Below are 13254 nucleotides of genomic sequence, written 5' to 3'. Positions count from 1 at the left end.
TACAGATGGAGGGCCCTCTAAGTCTCCCAGATTTGAAAACTTTGGGAGTAATGTTTCATAAGAATAGAACCAACTTTCCTCTAAATCTTCTGGTATGCTTTTTAAAAATATAGACCCCAGACTCCACTCTTGACTTGTTGAATCAGAACCCTTTTTTTTTTTCTTGGTTTGGAAGGATAGGGACCTTGAATCTACGTTTTTTTTTTTTTTTGAGACAGAGTCTCGCTTTGTTGCCCAGGCTGGAGTGCAGTGGCGTGATCTTGGCTCACTGCAACCTCCGCCTCCCGGGTTCAAGCGATTCTCCTGCCTCAGCTTCCTAAGAGGCTGGGATTACAGGTGCCTGCCACCACACCCAACTAATTTTTGTATTTTTAGTAGAGATGGGGTTTCACCATGCTGCCCAAGCTGGTCTCGAACTCCTGACCTCAGGCGATCCGCCCGCCACGGCCTCCCAAACTGCTGGGATTACAGGTGTGAGCCACCACACCCAGCCAGAAGCTTCATTTTAAACAATCTCATGGGAGTTCTTACCTGAGAAAATCTGAAAACCACTGCCTTGGGGTTACCATTGACTCCCCTCTCACTCTAGTCCATTTCTGTTCCAATCAAACCATTTTCTGATTTTATGGTAGCTCTCAAATAAACTCCTTCCTTTCCATTCCCACAGATGACTTGTAAGTCAGGGTTCTACCCTCACTCTGGATTGATCTCTGTTCCTCCAGTCTCCCATGCCAACTCACTTACACATCACTGCCAGATCCATCTGCCCCCAGATGCTCTCTGGCATGTCTGTACTCAAAATTTGTCAATGACTCCCTACTGCCCAACCACATGCACCTTAAATTCTTTAGCTAGAAATGGTCAAGATATATGTTAACCGGGCCGGGCGTGGTGGCTCACGCATGTAATCCCAGCAATTTGGGAGGTCGATGCAGGCAGATTGCTTGAGGTCAGGAGTTTGAGACCAGCCTGACCAATATGATGAAACCTCGTCTCCACTAAAAATACAAAAATTAGCCGGGCATGGTGGCAGGCACCTGTAATCCCAGCTACTCGGGAGGCTGAGACAGGAGAATCGCTTGAACCTGGGAGGCGAAGGTTGTAGTGAGCTGAGATTGGGCCATTGCACTCCAGTCTGGTCAACAAGAGCAAAACTCCGTCTCACAAAAAAAAAAAAAAAAAAAAAAAAAAAGATATATGTTAACCAAGTTTTTTTCTCTAATAATTTCCACATTGAGATTATTGGAAAGTTGCTTCTATAGACATTACTCGAGCTCCCCTCAGAAATATGACAATATCTGTAATGCTCAAAAAGGGCTACATTGCGGGGCATGGTGGCTTACGCCTATAATCCTAGCACCTTGGGAGGCTGAGGTGGGCGGAGTGCCTGAGCTCAGGAGTCTAAGACCAGCCTGGGCAACATGGTGAAACCCTGTCTCTATAAAATACAAAAAATTAGCTGGGTGTGGTGGCACAAGCCTCTAGTCCCAGCTACTTGGGAGGCTGAGGCAGGAGAATTGCTTGAACCTGGGAGGCGGAGGGAGGCTGCAGTGAGCTGAGATCGCGACACTGCACTCCAGCTTGGGCAACAAAGTGAGACTCCATCTCAAAAACAAAAACAAAAACAAAAACGCTACGGGTAGTGGCTCACGCCTGTAATCCCAGCATTTTGGGAGGCTGAGGCAGGAGGATCACCTGAGGTCAGGAGTTTGAGACCATCCTGGTCAACATGGTGAAACCCCATCTCTACTAAAAATACAAAAAAATAGCTGGGTGTGGTGGTGCATGCCTGTAATCCCAGCTACTGGGGAGGCTGAGGCAGAAGAATCGCTTGAACCCAGGAGGCGGAGATGGCAGTGAGCCGAGATCGTGCCATTGCACTGCAGCCTGGGCAACAAGAGCGAAACTCCATCTCAAAAAAAAAAAAGAAAAGAAAAGAAAAGAAAAAAAAGGCTATATAAAGGTTTCTTCATCATCTGTAATCATTTTCTTAGTTCTTATCCTCTTTTCACTGCTTTAGTGGTTTTTAAAAACATTTTTCTTTTAAACAAATACAAATACTACTTTTTGGAAATGAACAGGCTGTAAAAAAGCCAAACATTCCCCCCCTCAAGATGAAATTCAAATGTGTCCCTGCCTATATCCCCTGTCTTGTCCATTAACTCACTTCTCAGTCCAGCGTCTATGTCTTTGCTCAGGTTCTTCTCCCTGCCTGCAGCACCTATCCTCTCCTTTCTGGTTAATTTTGTGCTTTCCTTTAAAGATCCAACTAGATCACTTCCCTCATAAAGCCCTTCCCGACTAGTCTACAAGTATCTTTCTTCTCCCAAGAACACCTGTGGCACTGATTCAGCAGTCCATTAAGAACACAGCCTCATAGTGTAATTTCTTTTAATGTATAGGATTGTTTCCAACTCATCAGGTCTGGTGCAATTCTGTCACGATTTAACATGGAACATCCGGGCTGCCCTTCCTGAATAGTCCAGGGCAAGAGCAGTAGTGAGTGATTCTTCTCTTTTCTCGGGTTCACTTTGACCTGAAGCAAGTTGCTATCTTCGGAGAGTATGTATGGACCCCAACAGAATGGGGCCCAGGGGTCTTCATCCCTTACAAATCCTGGACTGTATCAAAGGGAAGGCCTCGGTAATTCGTGCTCACCCAGCCCATTCGGATCCTGGTCCTCCCTCTCTTGGGGTTCAGGGGGTTCCTAGAGTTTTCTTGTTCCCACCCAGGCATGGGGGGCTAGTGTCCAGCTGAGAGTTCTCTCTCCACTGGGCGGGGGTCCGTGCCTGGATGGCCAGCGCATGGACCGGACCTCCCAGCTCCTCGGCCAGCGCTGCGTGGACCAGCCGGTGTCGTTGTAGGGGGCTCAGTCCCTCGAAACGAGAGCTCACCACAGCCACGCGGAAGTGAGTCTCACTGCCAGGCGGGACCGCGTGGCCACCGCTCTCGTTGCGAAGCTCTAGCACCTCGGGGCTCAGGGCCTCCTCCAACTTCGTGCGAATGGCGGCCTCCACCGGACCGATGGCCCCGGATCCCGCGCTGCCCTGGCACAAACAAACGCGGCCAGCCATGGAGACCAGACCCAGGACCAGCCGCCCACTCAGCATGGGCTACGCCAGAGACTCAGACGCCAGGAGTGAGGGTCGGGGCGATCCGCCTGGTGAGAGCACAATGTCAACACCCGCCCCGCGATCCCCGCATCCGCCCTAACCCCACGCCCGGACGTCCACACCAGCTCCTATAGGGAGCCCGCCTTGATGCCACACGGGGAGACCCGAGACACCGCCCCTTTTCTCTACGTGACGTGGTGAATTCGACCTCCAGCTGTGGAAGTGAAGGGACAAGCGAAGATTAGAAAGGCCCGCACGCGAGGCGCGTTCGTTCCTTAGGGGATTTGCAAAGAATGGGCAAAAGTAGGGCATGTGCAACTGCGTACTTGTGGTTGGGCCGAAGCCCCTGTGTTCCCTGTGAAGCCCCGGAGACGCCCCTTCTACCTGCCGCTCAGCCTCGGCCACTGCGATTCCCGCTCAGGGCCAGGACTCTGGACGCTCCGGAGCAAAATGCAGTCCTGGCGCCCTTCCTGAGGCACGCTGGGAAATGGAGTCCTCGCTGCGCGTTGGTAGCACGGGCAGGCACCACGTGGTGCCCTGAGGGCTCATGGGAACTGTAGTCTCGGATTCTCCCCACTGGTAAGGTGGTCAGAAAGTCTGAACCCAGCAATGCAAAGAAAAAGGGAATTCACGCGCAGTTGGGATTGGGATTATTAGATCTATTTTACTGCCAATAGATCTTGTAGATCATCCAGCCCAACTCCTTTATTTTATATGCAAGAAAATGGAAGTCTGATTGAATACATAATTACTGTGCCCCAGACTAGTGCTGGGGACTGGGGAGTCAAGTCAGGCCCTGTTTTCAAGGAGACAACAGAGCACTGAAGACTAACAAGTGAGCGGACAATTGCAATACTGGGTACTAGGTGCTACGATGAGATAAACACAGGATGCTAAGGAGGCAAGTTACCCAGACTTGGCCGGGGTTGGAGAGGTGGAATGGGAGGCGGGCAGAGAATATTTCCGAGATTTAGGGAAACAGTTCAGCAGAAACAACATGAGAATCCATTTCTCAGTCCCTCATAGTGAGGTTTTGGCTTTGGTAGCTGCATGTGTAAAGGACAGGAGGAGAGAGAATTTTGAGGGAGTCTTTCCTTCTGGTGTAGTTAGGGTGTGGTTATGTGTGGTTGGAGCCTAGGGGGCAGCTGATGGTGATGAGTAGGGTACCAGGAGGAGAGGAACGGGCCAGACCACCCCAGGCCTTGTAGCCCTTGTTAGGCAATTTTGTCTTTATCCTAGAAGTAGTGGGAAGCTACTGAGGTTTTAAGCAGGGATGTAACAGGATGTAATTTTTCCAGGATGATTCTTAACTTGTAAAATTATTTAAATTTTATTTTGTATCCTTAATATATTTACATATTTCTAAATGTTTTTCCCCAACTTCTCATTTTGAAAAATGTCAAAGCCACAGAAAAGTTGAATAGTTCAAAGCAACACCCTCTACCTTTCACTTGACCCACCATTTTTTGCATTTATATTTATTTTATACTTGTACATATATACTCATATATTTAAGTACTTTACATATACTTTAAAATATATTTATATGCTTTTTTGGATGAACCATTTGAAAGTAAGTTGCAGATAGCATGACATTTCACCCCTAACTACTCCAATATGTATCTCCTAAGAACAAAGATATTCTCATACATAACCACAATAACCTTATCACACTCAAGAAATTTAAACTATGACATACACTGTTTTCCCTAGCCTTTAAAAAAAATTAAAACTTCCAGAAAATTTGCAAGATTAATACAATGAGCAACCCATTTATCCACTCTTCACCTAGGTTCACTGATAAGATTTTGCCAGACTTGGCTTTGTATCTCTTTTAATGTATGTGTGTATAATAATAATGAAATAATAATAATTATTTCTGCTGAATCACTTGAGTTAGGTGCAGAAATCTTATTTATTTATTTTTTTTTGAGATGGAGTTTTGCTCTTCTTGCCCAGGCTGGAGTGCAATGGCGTGATCTTGGCTCACTGCAACCTCTGCCTCCTGGGTTCAAGCAAGTCTCCTGCCTCAGCCTCCTGATTAGCTGGGATTACAGGCATGTGCCAACATGCCCGGCTAATTTTGTATTTTTAGTAGAGACGGGGTTTCTCCATGTTGATCAGGCTGGTCTGGAACTCCCAACCTCAGGTGATCCACCCTCCTCGGCCACCCAGGATTACAGGGATTACAGGCGTGAGCCACTGCGCCTGGCCCAAAATTCTTTTTTTTTTTTTTTTTAAACAGAGTCTCACTCTGTTGCCCAGACTGGAGTGCAGTGGCGCCATCTTGGCCCACTGCAACCTCCACCTTCTGGGTTCAAGTGATTCTCCTGCCTCAGCCTCCTGAGTAGCTGGGACTACAGGCTGGTGCCACCATACCTGGCTAAATTTTTTTGCATTTCTAGTAGAGATGGGGTTTCACCATGTTGGCCAGGCTGGTCTGGAACTCCTGACCTCAAGTGATCCTCCTGCTCTGGAACTCCTGACCTCAAGTGATCTGCCTGCCTCAGCCTCCCAAAGTGATGGGATTACAGGCGTGAGCCACTGCACCCAGCCACAAAATTCTTTTTTTTTTTTTTGAGATGGAGTTTCGCTCTTGTTGCCTAGGCTGGAGTGCAATGGTGCGATCTTGGCTCACAGCAACCTCCGCCTCCTGGGTTCAAGCGATTTGCTTGCCTCAGCCTCCCATGTAGCTGGGATTACAGGCGTGCGCCACCACTCTGGCTAATTTTGTGTTTTTAGTGGAGACGGGGTTTCTCCATGTTGGTCAGGCTGGTCTTGACTCAGGTCATCAGTCCGCCTCGGCCTCCCAAAATGCTGGGATTATAGGCGTGAGCCACTGCGCCTGGCCCCACAAAATTCTTTACACTTAATTGCTATGTACTTTCAATGTGTATCTCCTAAGAACAAGGACATTTTCATACATATCCACAATACCATTACCACATCCAAGACATTTAACATTCATACAATACTATAATCACATACAGTTGATATTCAGATTTCCCCAACTGTCTCATTGGTGTCTACTATAGTTTGAATATGTCTCCTCCAGAATTCATGTTGAAAATTAATCCATGGTGTTGGTATTAAGTGGTGGGGCCTTTAGGAGGTAATAAGGCTATGAGGGCTCCACCCTCAAGAATGGACTAACGCCTTTTGAAAGAGCTTGAGGGGGTAAGTTGGCCCCTTCTGTCCCTTCTGCCATGTAAGGTCACCTCGATGGCGTATCTATGAGGAACTGGCCTTCACTAGATACCAAACCTGCCAGTGCCGTAATCTTGGACTTCCCAGCCTCCAGAACTGTGAGAAAATACATTTCTGTTTATAAATTACCCAGTCAGTGGTATTTTGTAATAGCAGCACAGTCTAAGTAAACATTATAAATGTTTAATTTTCAGAAACCAATCAAGGATCATGCATTGCATTTAGCTGACTTTAAGTTTGTATTCTGCAAAGATCACTGGCTTCAGGGTGGAGAATGGATTGTAGAGGAGGCAAGAGTGGAAACAGGGAGACAAGTTGGGAGGTTACTGTAGCAGTCTAGGTGAGAGATGATGATGATTTGGACCAAGGTGGTGGTGGTGGTGGTGGAAATGGAGAGAAATTGTGGCTACAGGATGTATATTAGGAAAGTAAAACCTACAGGGTGTGGTAATGGCTTGGTTGTGGGAGGGAAAGTGTCAAGGATAATTACAAGGTTTGTGCATCTAAAGTTAAAAAAAACAGTTCAAATAATTCCTGTATATCCTTTATCCTGATACCTAGATTACCCAAATATTAACAATTCACTGTTTGTTTTATTTGTATGTACCTATCTACAAATATATAATTATTTTCTGGACTGTTTGAGACTAAGTTTCAGAGATAAAGCCTATTAAACTCTACCTGTGATGGTTAACTTTTTTTTTTTTTTTGAGATGGAGTCTCACTCTGTCGCCCAGGCTGGAGTGCAGTGATGCAATCTTGGCTTACTGCAACCTCTGTCTCCTGGGTTCAAGTGATTCTTGTGCCTCCGCCTCCTGAGTAGCTGGGATTACAGGCGTGGACAATGGCGCCTGGCTAATTTTTGTATTTTTAGTGGAGAGGGGGGTTTCACCATGTTGGCCAGGCTGGTCTCAAACTCCTGACCTCAGGTGATCCACCCACCTCAGCCTCCCAAAGTGCTGGGATTAGAGGCGTGAGCCACCACGCACGGCCTGTGATGGTTAATGTCCCAACTTCTAGAGGATTGGTGCTCAGATATTTGGCCAAATATGGGTGCTTCTGTGAGAGTATTTTGAATGAGATTAACATTTGAATTGGAGACTGAGTAAATTGCCCTCCCTAATATAGGTGGGTCCCATCCAACCAGTTGAAAGCTTGACTAGAACAAAAGACTGACCCACTCCGGAGTAAGAGAGACTTCCTTCTGCCTGACTGCTTTGAGACCCGGACATTGGCTTTTCTCAGCCTTCAGACTCAGAAGTAAACACTGGCTCCATCTGGGTCTTAGACTCGGCCTTTGGACTGGAACTACACCATTGGTTCTCAGGCCTTTGAACTTGGACTGGAACTATATCATCAGTTCTCCTGGGTCTCCAGCTTGCCAACTTACCCTGAAGATCTTGGGGATCTTGGGATTTATTAGCTTCCATAATCAAAAAGCCAATTTTTTATAATAAAACTATCTATCAAAATATCTACCATTCGTTCTGTTTCCCTGGAGAATCCTGACTGATGTATATTTACTTAAAAAAAAAAATTTTCTCACATAGCCGGAATATAACTGTCAGACTCTAGAAATGAACACAGATACGGTACTATTATCTAATCTACAGACCTTATTCAAAATTTGCCAATTGTTCCACTACTATCATATATATAAAATGAAAAGAAATATCTTCTGGTCCAGGATCCAATCTAGGATGACGTGTTGCATTCAGTTGTTATATTTCTTTGTTCTCCATTAACTTGAAATAGTTTCCTAGATTTTCTTTGTCTTTCATGACTTTGGTAATTTTGAAGTTACAGACATTTATTTTGTAGAATGTCCCTCAATCTGGGTTTGTCTGATGTTTCTTTATGATTAAAATTTAGCACATGCATTTTTGGCTGGAATACTGCAGAAGTAATGTTGAATTCTTCTCTGTGAACCTTACCAGGGCACGTGATCTTTTTGTTATTACTAGTGATAGTTCTGATCACTTGATTAAGATGGTATCTGTCAGGCTTTTCCACTATAAAATTCCTTTTCTGTCTGTAATTGTGGAAGATACTCTAAGTGTATCTACTTTCCTAATTCTCATTAAGTTTTTTCCCACTAATTTTAGCATGTGAGAAGTATATTTGAGACATCTCTTAGTTAGGGGTTGTTGAAGATGAAATGAGATCATGGGGGTGGGGCTGGGGTGTGGTATGTGATCACCTGGGGAGAGAGTGTACAGTGAGAAAAGAATCAGAATGTCTATTAGAAAGGCCACTCTGGTGAGGAGTGGGAAGAGTAGAAGCAGGGAGAGGAGTAGAAAAGTCTTTGTTGGTAGTCTGGGTGAAAGATAACCTGAGTGAAGGCACGAGATGGGCTAGAGAGAAGTACATTGATTAGAAAGCTGCTACAAAGATGGCATCTATAGGACCTGCTTTGGTTAGGACCTTGCAGTTTGCAAATCCAGTGACAGTGTTAGGCAGAGGTAGGAGGCTGAGGTCAGGGAAAGCCTAGGTGTGAAGGTAACATTGAAACAGAAATTTGAATGACTAGAGGGAACTAACCACGTGGAAAGAGAGATCCAGGCACAATGAATGGTATATTCACTATATTCTAGATGTGTGATGCCAAGCTCAGTGTTGACATACTTAGGTGTTCAATAAGATATATTGGATGGATGAGTGAATTGATGTATGAATGGAGACGGCAACTTCACTATTATTGCTGTCGTAAAAATAAACGAAAGCTTTGCAAGTTGCGAGCTCCACAGGGCAAGCTTATTGTCTTTGTTTCTAATAAAAATATAGTCATAATAATATCTACTATTTAATGAAGGTCTGTCGTGGTCAGATTAAGGCTTTTAGAGGCTTTAAGCACCGAGAGATTATGTTAGCCACCTCATACACAATTAAACAAAACAACCAAACAATAATAAACACTCATTTGTAACATGAGGATTGGGATGCCCAACAAAGTACTCATTGTTTTCCCCATGATGACTCCTTCAATTTTGTTTATATTTAAAAATTGTGCTTACTGAGGTATGATGTACATGTAAGAGATTTATAAATCTAGGCCGGGCGTGGTGACTCACGCTTGTAATCCCAGCACTTTGGGAGGCCAAGGAAGGTGGATCACTTGAGATCAGGAGTTCGAGACCAGCCTGGCCAACATGGTGAAACCCCCTCTCTACTAAAAATACAAAAATTAGCTGGGCGTGGTGGCAGGCACCTGTAATCCCAACTATTTGGGAGGCTGAGGCATGAGAATTGGCTTGAACCCGAGAGGCAGAGTTGCAGTGAGCTGGGATCACGCCACTGCACTCCAGCCTGGGTGACAGAGGGAGACTGTCTCAAAAACAAACAAACAAAAAAACCCCTATAAATCTTAAATGTAGAGCTGAATTTTACATATGAATATGCCTATATCAAGATAAAGAAAATTCCCAGCACCTCAGAAGACTTCCAGGGAAGTCAGTATTACCCTGCCACAGTTAATCATTAGTCTCATTATTCTAACCTTTATCACCATAGATTACTTTTTGTTTGTTTGTTTTTGAGACAGAGTCTCGCTCTGTTGCCCAGGCTGGAGTGCAGTGGTCCGATCATGGCTCACTGCAACCTCCACCTCCTGGGTTCAAGCGATTCTCCTGCCTCAGCCTCCTGAGTAGCTGGGACTACACAGGTGCATGCCACCACGCTGGGCTAATTTTTTGTATTTTTAGTAGAGATGGGGTTTCACCATGTTGGCCAGGCTGGGCTCGAACTCCCGACCTCAGGTGATCCGCCTGCCTTGGCCTCCCAAAGTGCTGGGATTACAGGTGTGAGCCACCGTGCCCGGCCTCAGATGCTAATCTCTTTCAGAAATACCCAGAAAAATGGGCCAGGCGTGGTGGCTCATGCCTGTAATTCCATCATTTTGGGAGGCTGAGGCGGGCGGATCACCTGAGGTCGGGAGTTTGAGACCAGCCTGACCAACATGGAGAAACCCCATCTCTACTAAAAATACAAAATTAGCCAGGCATGGTGGCTCACGCCTGTAATCTCAGCTACTTGGGAGGCTGAGGCAGGAGAATCGCTTGAACCCGGGAGGTGGAGGTTGCTGTGAGCCGAGATCACGTCATTGCACTCCAGCCTGGGCAACAAGAGTGAAACTCCGTCTCAAAAAAAACAAAAAACAAAAAACAAAAACAAAACCCAGAAAATGTTTTACTAGCTATTGGGCTAGGCAAGTTGACTCATAAAATGAACCATCATATCCTCCTAATCTAGCTGTGGGGCCTCTCAGGTTCCCAAGCTCTCTACTAGGTTATTTACATTTATTCTCCTTTATTCCAGCAACCGTATTATGGTAGGCTATATTATTATTATTATTATTATTATTATTTTTTGAGACGGAGTCTCGCTTTGTCACCCAGGCTGGAGTGCAGTGGCACGATCTCGGCTCACTGCAACCTCTGCCTCCCGGGTTCAAGCAATTTTCCTGCTTCAGCCTCCTGAGTAGCTGGGATTACAGGTGCCCACCACCATGCCCAGCTAATTTTGTATTTTTAGTAGAGATGGGGTTTCACCATGTTGGTCAGGCTGCTCTCGAACCCCTGACCTCGTGATCCACCTGCCTTGGCCTCCCAAAGTGCTGGGATTACAGGTGTGAGCCACTGTGCCTGGCCTGTATTATTTTTATTTAACTGATGAGCTTCTATCTTCCATCATTCTGTTTACCATCATCTACTATTTATGGTTGTCATTTGGAGAGTGGTTGTTGACTAAATATTTTAGAAAAGAAAATGCTAATTTTCTAAGAGTTTGTTTCATGTATTCATGCCAAAAACATTTAAGGAAACTATTAAGGGCCAGGTGGAAGGAATCAAGAACTCTTGATTCAAATAAGAGGAAGACATGATCTTTCTCTGGAAATGGTTACAGAAAGGAGATTAAAGCACAGTACAGGCCAGGTATGGTGGCTGACGCCTATAATTCCACCACTTTGGGAGGCTGAGGTGGGTGGATCACCTGAAGTCAGGAGTTCAAGACCAGCCTGGCCAACATGGTGAAACCCCATTTCTACTAAAAATAAAAAAATTAGCCAGGTGTGGTGGCACATTACTGTAATCCCAGCTACTTGGGAGGCTGAGGCAGGAGAATCTCTTGAACCTGGGAGGCAGAGGTTGCAGTGGGCAGAGATCGTGCCGTTGCACTCCAGCCTGGGCGACAGAGCGAAACTCCATCACACACACACACACACACACACACACACACACACAGCACAGAATGGTGAGTGCTGTCACCAGGATATGAACAAAGAGATGTGGCCACAGCAAGGATATTTGTGTGGGAGTAGAGAAGATCTCATCTAATAATTCTTTCTTCCTTTTTTTTGTACAGAGGAAGAAACAATGGCTGGATAAATTAAATGACTTCTTTAAGCCCAACATCTAGTTAGTGAGAGTGTGAATGACATGGTGAGGAGCATGTTATTTGAGTCAGGCAGACCTAGGCTCTAATCATGTGGCTGTGTGACCTTCAGCAATTTTTTTTTTTGAGATAGAGTCTTGCTCTGTCACCCAGGCTGGAGTGCAGTGGCGCTATTTTGGCTCACTGCAACCTCTGCCTTCTGGGCTCAAGTAATCCTCCAACCTCAGCCTCCCAAGTAGCTGAGACCACAGGTCACAGGTGTGTGCCCCACCACATTCAGTTAATTTTTGTATTTTTTGTAGAGATGGGGTTTCGCCATGTTGCCAGGCTGGTCTCAAACTCCTGGGTTCAAGCTATCCGCCTCGGCCTCCCAAAGTGCTGGGATTACAGGTGTGAGCCACCACACCCGGCCCAGCAATTGTTTTAATCCCTGTAAGCTTCAGTTTATTTGTGAAACACATAATTTTATCTACTTTGTAGGCAGTCACTACTGCAGGGTTTATCATAGCAGGGTTTCAACATAATCTCTTTTTCTTTCACCCTTCTTATGGCACAGAGCACCGTGATAGAAGTAAAAAAGAAATCAGAGGTCAAGTCCAGGCGCAGTGGCTCACACCTGTAATCCCAGCACTTTGGGAGTTCGAGACCAGCCTGGACAACATGGCAAAACCCTGTTTCTACTGAAAATACAAAAATTAGCTGGATGTGGTGGCGCATGCCTGTAATCCCAGCTATTTGGTCGGCTGAGGCATGAGAATCACTTGAACCCGAGAAGCAGAGGTTGCAGTGAGCTGAGATTCTGCCACTGCACTCCAGCCTGGCTGACAGAGTGAGACTCTGTCTGGGAAAAAAAAAAAAAAAAAAATAAGGTCAGCGAAAGAAAGGAAGGTCATCTTGCCCCTCAAGCAGGGCCTTATGGGGTGCCAGGATTGTGGTGGGGTCCCCTATCATCTGGGTTTTGTTCTCAGCCCTTTAGGTCTGAAAAGTTGACACTATGAGAACTTCCAGGACTGACTGGCTTCTTGGGGAGGGGCCCACGCTAACAAAGTACACACAAAATTTATGAATAGTCCAAAATGCAAATTCATTGAATTATATGATGAACATCTTTCTATAACTGGCTCCCCCCACTTCAGTCTTATGTTTTTATCTTGGAATAGAATAATCAGAAAGTTGTTAATTGAGCACAGAATCTGAATGAAAGAACTTGGATAGTCTTCAGAAATATTTCACCCAGGCTGTGAGAAAGGGTTGATGCTTTCATAACCAAGGACCCTTTTCTAGGCCAAACTTTACATCTGCCAGATATATTTTAGTGTTGGTGAAAACATAACATATTCCTACTATAATTGCCACCTGTTTGGACTCTATGTGGACCGCACCTTTCTGTTAACATTCATCTTCTCAAATGATATAATCAATTGGATTAGAAGGATCTTAGGTTACACCCTCATCACCTCTGTCTGAACTTTGGTGTTTCCCAAATCTATACCAGCATTCTTATCAGGAGTAATCTCTATACGTAGCTGATTTTAACTAATTT

At 45.3% G+C, this 13254-nt stretch overlaps 1 protein-coding gene and 1 long non-coding RNA gene across 5 annotated transcripts, besides 1 other annotated feature; one reads left to right on the top strand and one right to left on the bottom strand.

Moving 5' to 3' along the window:
• BOLA1 (bolA family member 1) lies at positions 2375 to 3602 on the bottom strand. 4 transcript variants are annotated; one of them, NM_001321026.2, is made up of 2 exons: positions 3440 to 3602; positions 2375 to 3327 (listed from the first exon to the last, which is right to left on the bottom strand). In NM_001321026.2, exon 2 carries the CDS (start codon positions 3108 to 3110, stop codon positions 2697 to 2699), a length of 414 nt encoding a protein of 137 aa, NP_001307955.1. In that variant the 5' UTR covers positions 3111 to 3327; positions 3440 to 3602; the 3' UTR covers positions 2375 to 2696. The 4 variants fall into 4 exon arrangements, with proteins under 4 accessions (NP_001307955.1, XP_006711411.1, NP_001307954.1 ...); XM_006711348.4 differs by having other exon boundaries at positions 2375 to 3160; NM_001321025.2 differs by having other exon boundaries at positions 3498 to 3602.
• Positions 3509 to 3568: an enhancer, noted in NCBI's record as "active region_1664". NCBI's record gives its function as "activates an Ori minimal core promoter by ATAC-STARR-seq in GM12878 lymphoblastoid cells {active_cell/tissue: GM12878}" and the evidence as "EXISTENCE:reporter gene assay evidence [ECO:0000049][PMID:35858748]".
• Positions 3622 to 7794, top strand: LOC124904412 (uncharacterized). Its single transcript, XR_007066597.1, has 2 exons — positions 3622 to 3692; positions 7449 to 7794. It is a non-coding gene; the product is annotated as an uncharacterized LOC124904412 (long non-coding RNA).
• Positions 7795 to 13254: the final 5460 nt, after the last annotated feature.

This window comes from Homo sapiens, chromosome 1 (genome assembly GCF_000001405.40).
Source record: "Homo sapiens chromosome 1, GRCh38.p14 Primary Assembly".
NCBI lineage: Eukaryota > Metazoa > Chordata > Mammalia > Primates > Hominidae > Homo > Homo sapiens.
The sequence above is the reverse complement of the archived record's forward strand: the minus strand, read 5'-3'. Positions and strand labels throughout refer to the sequence as shown.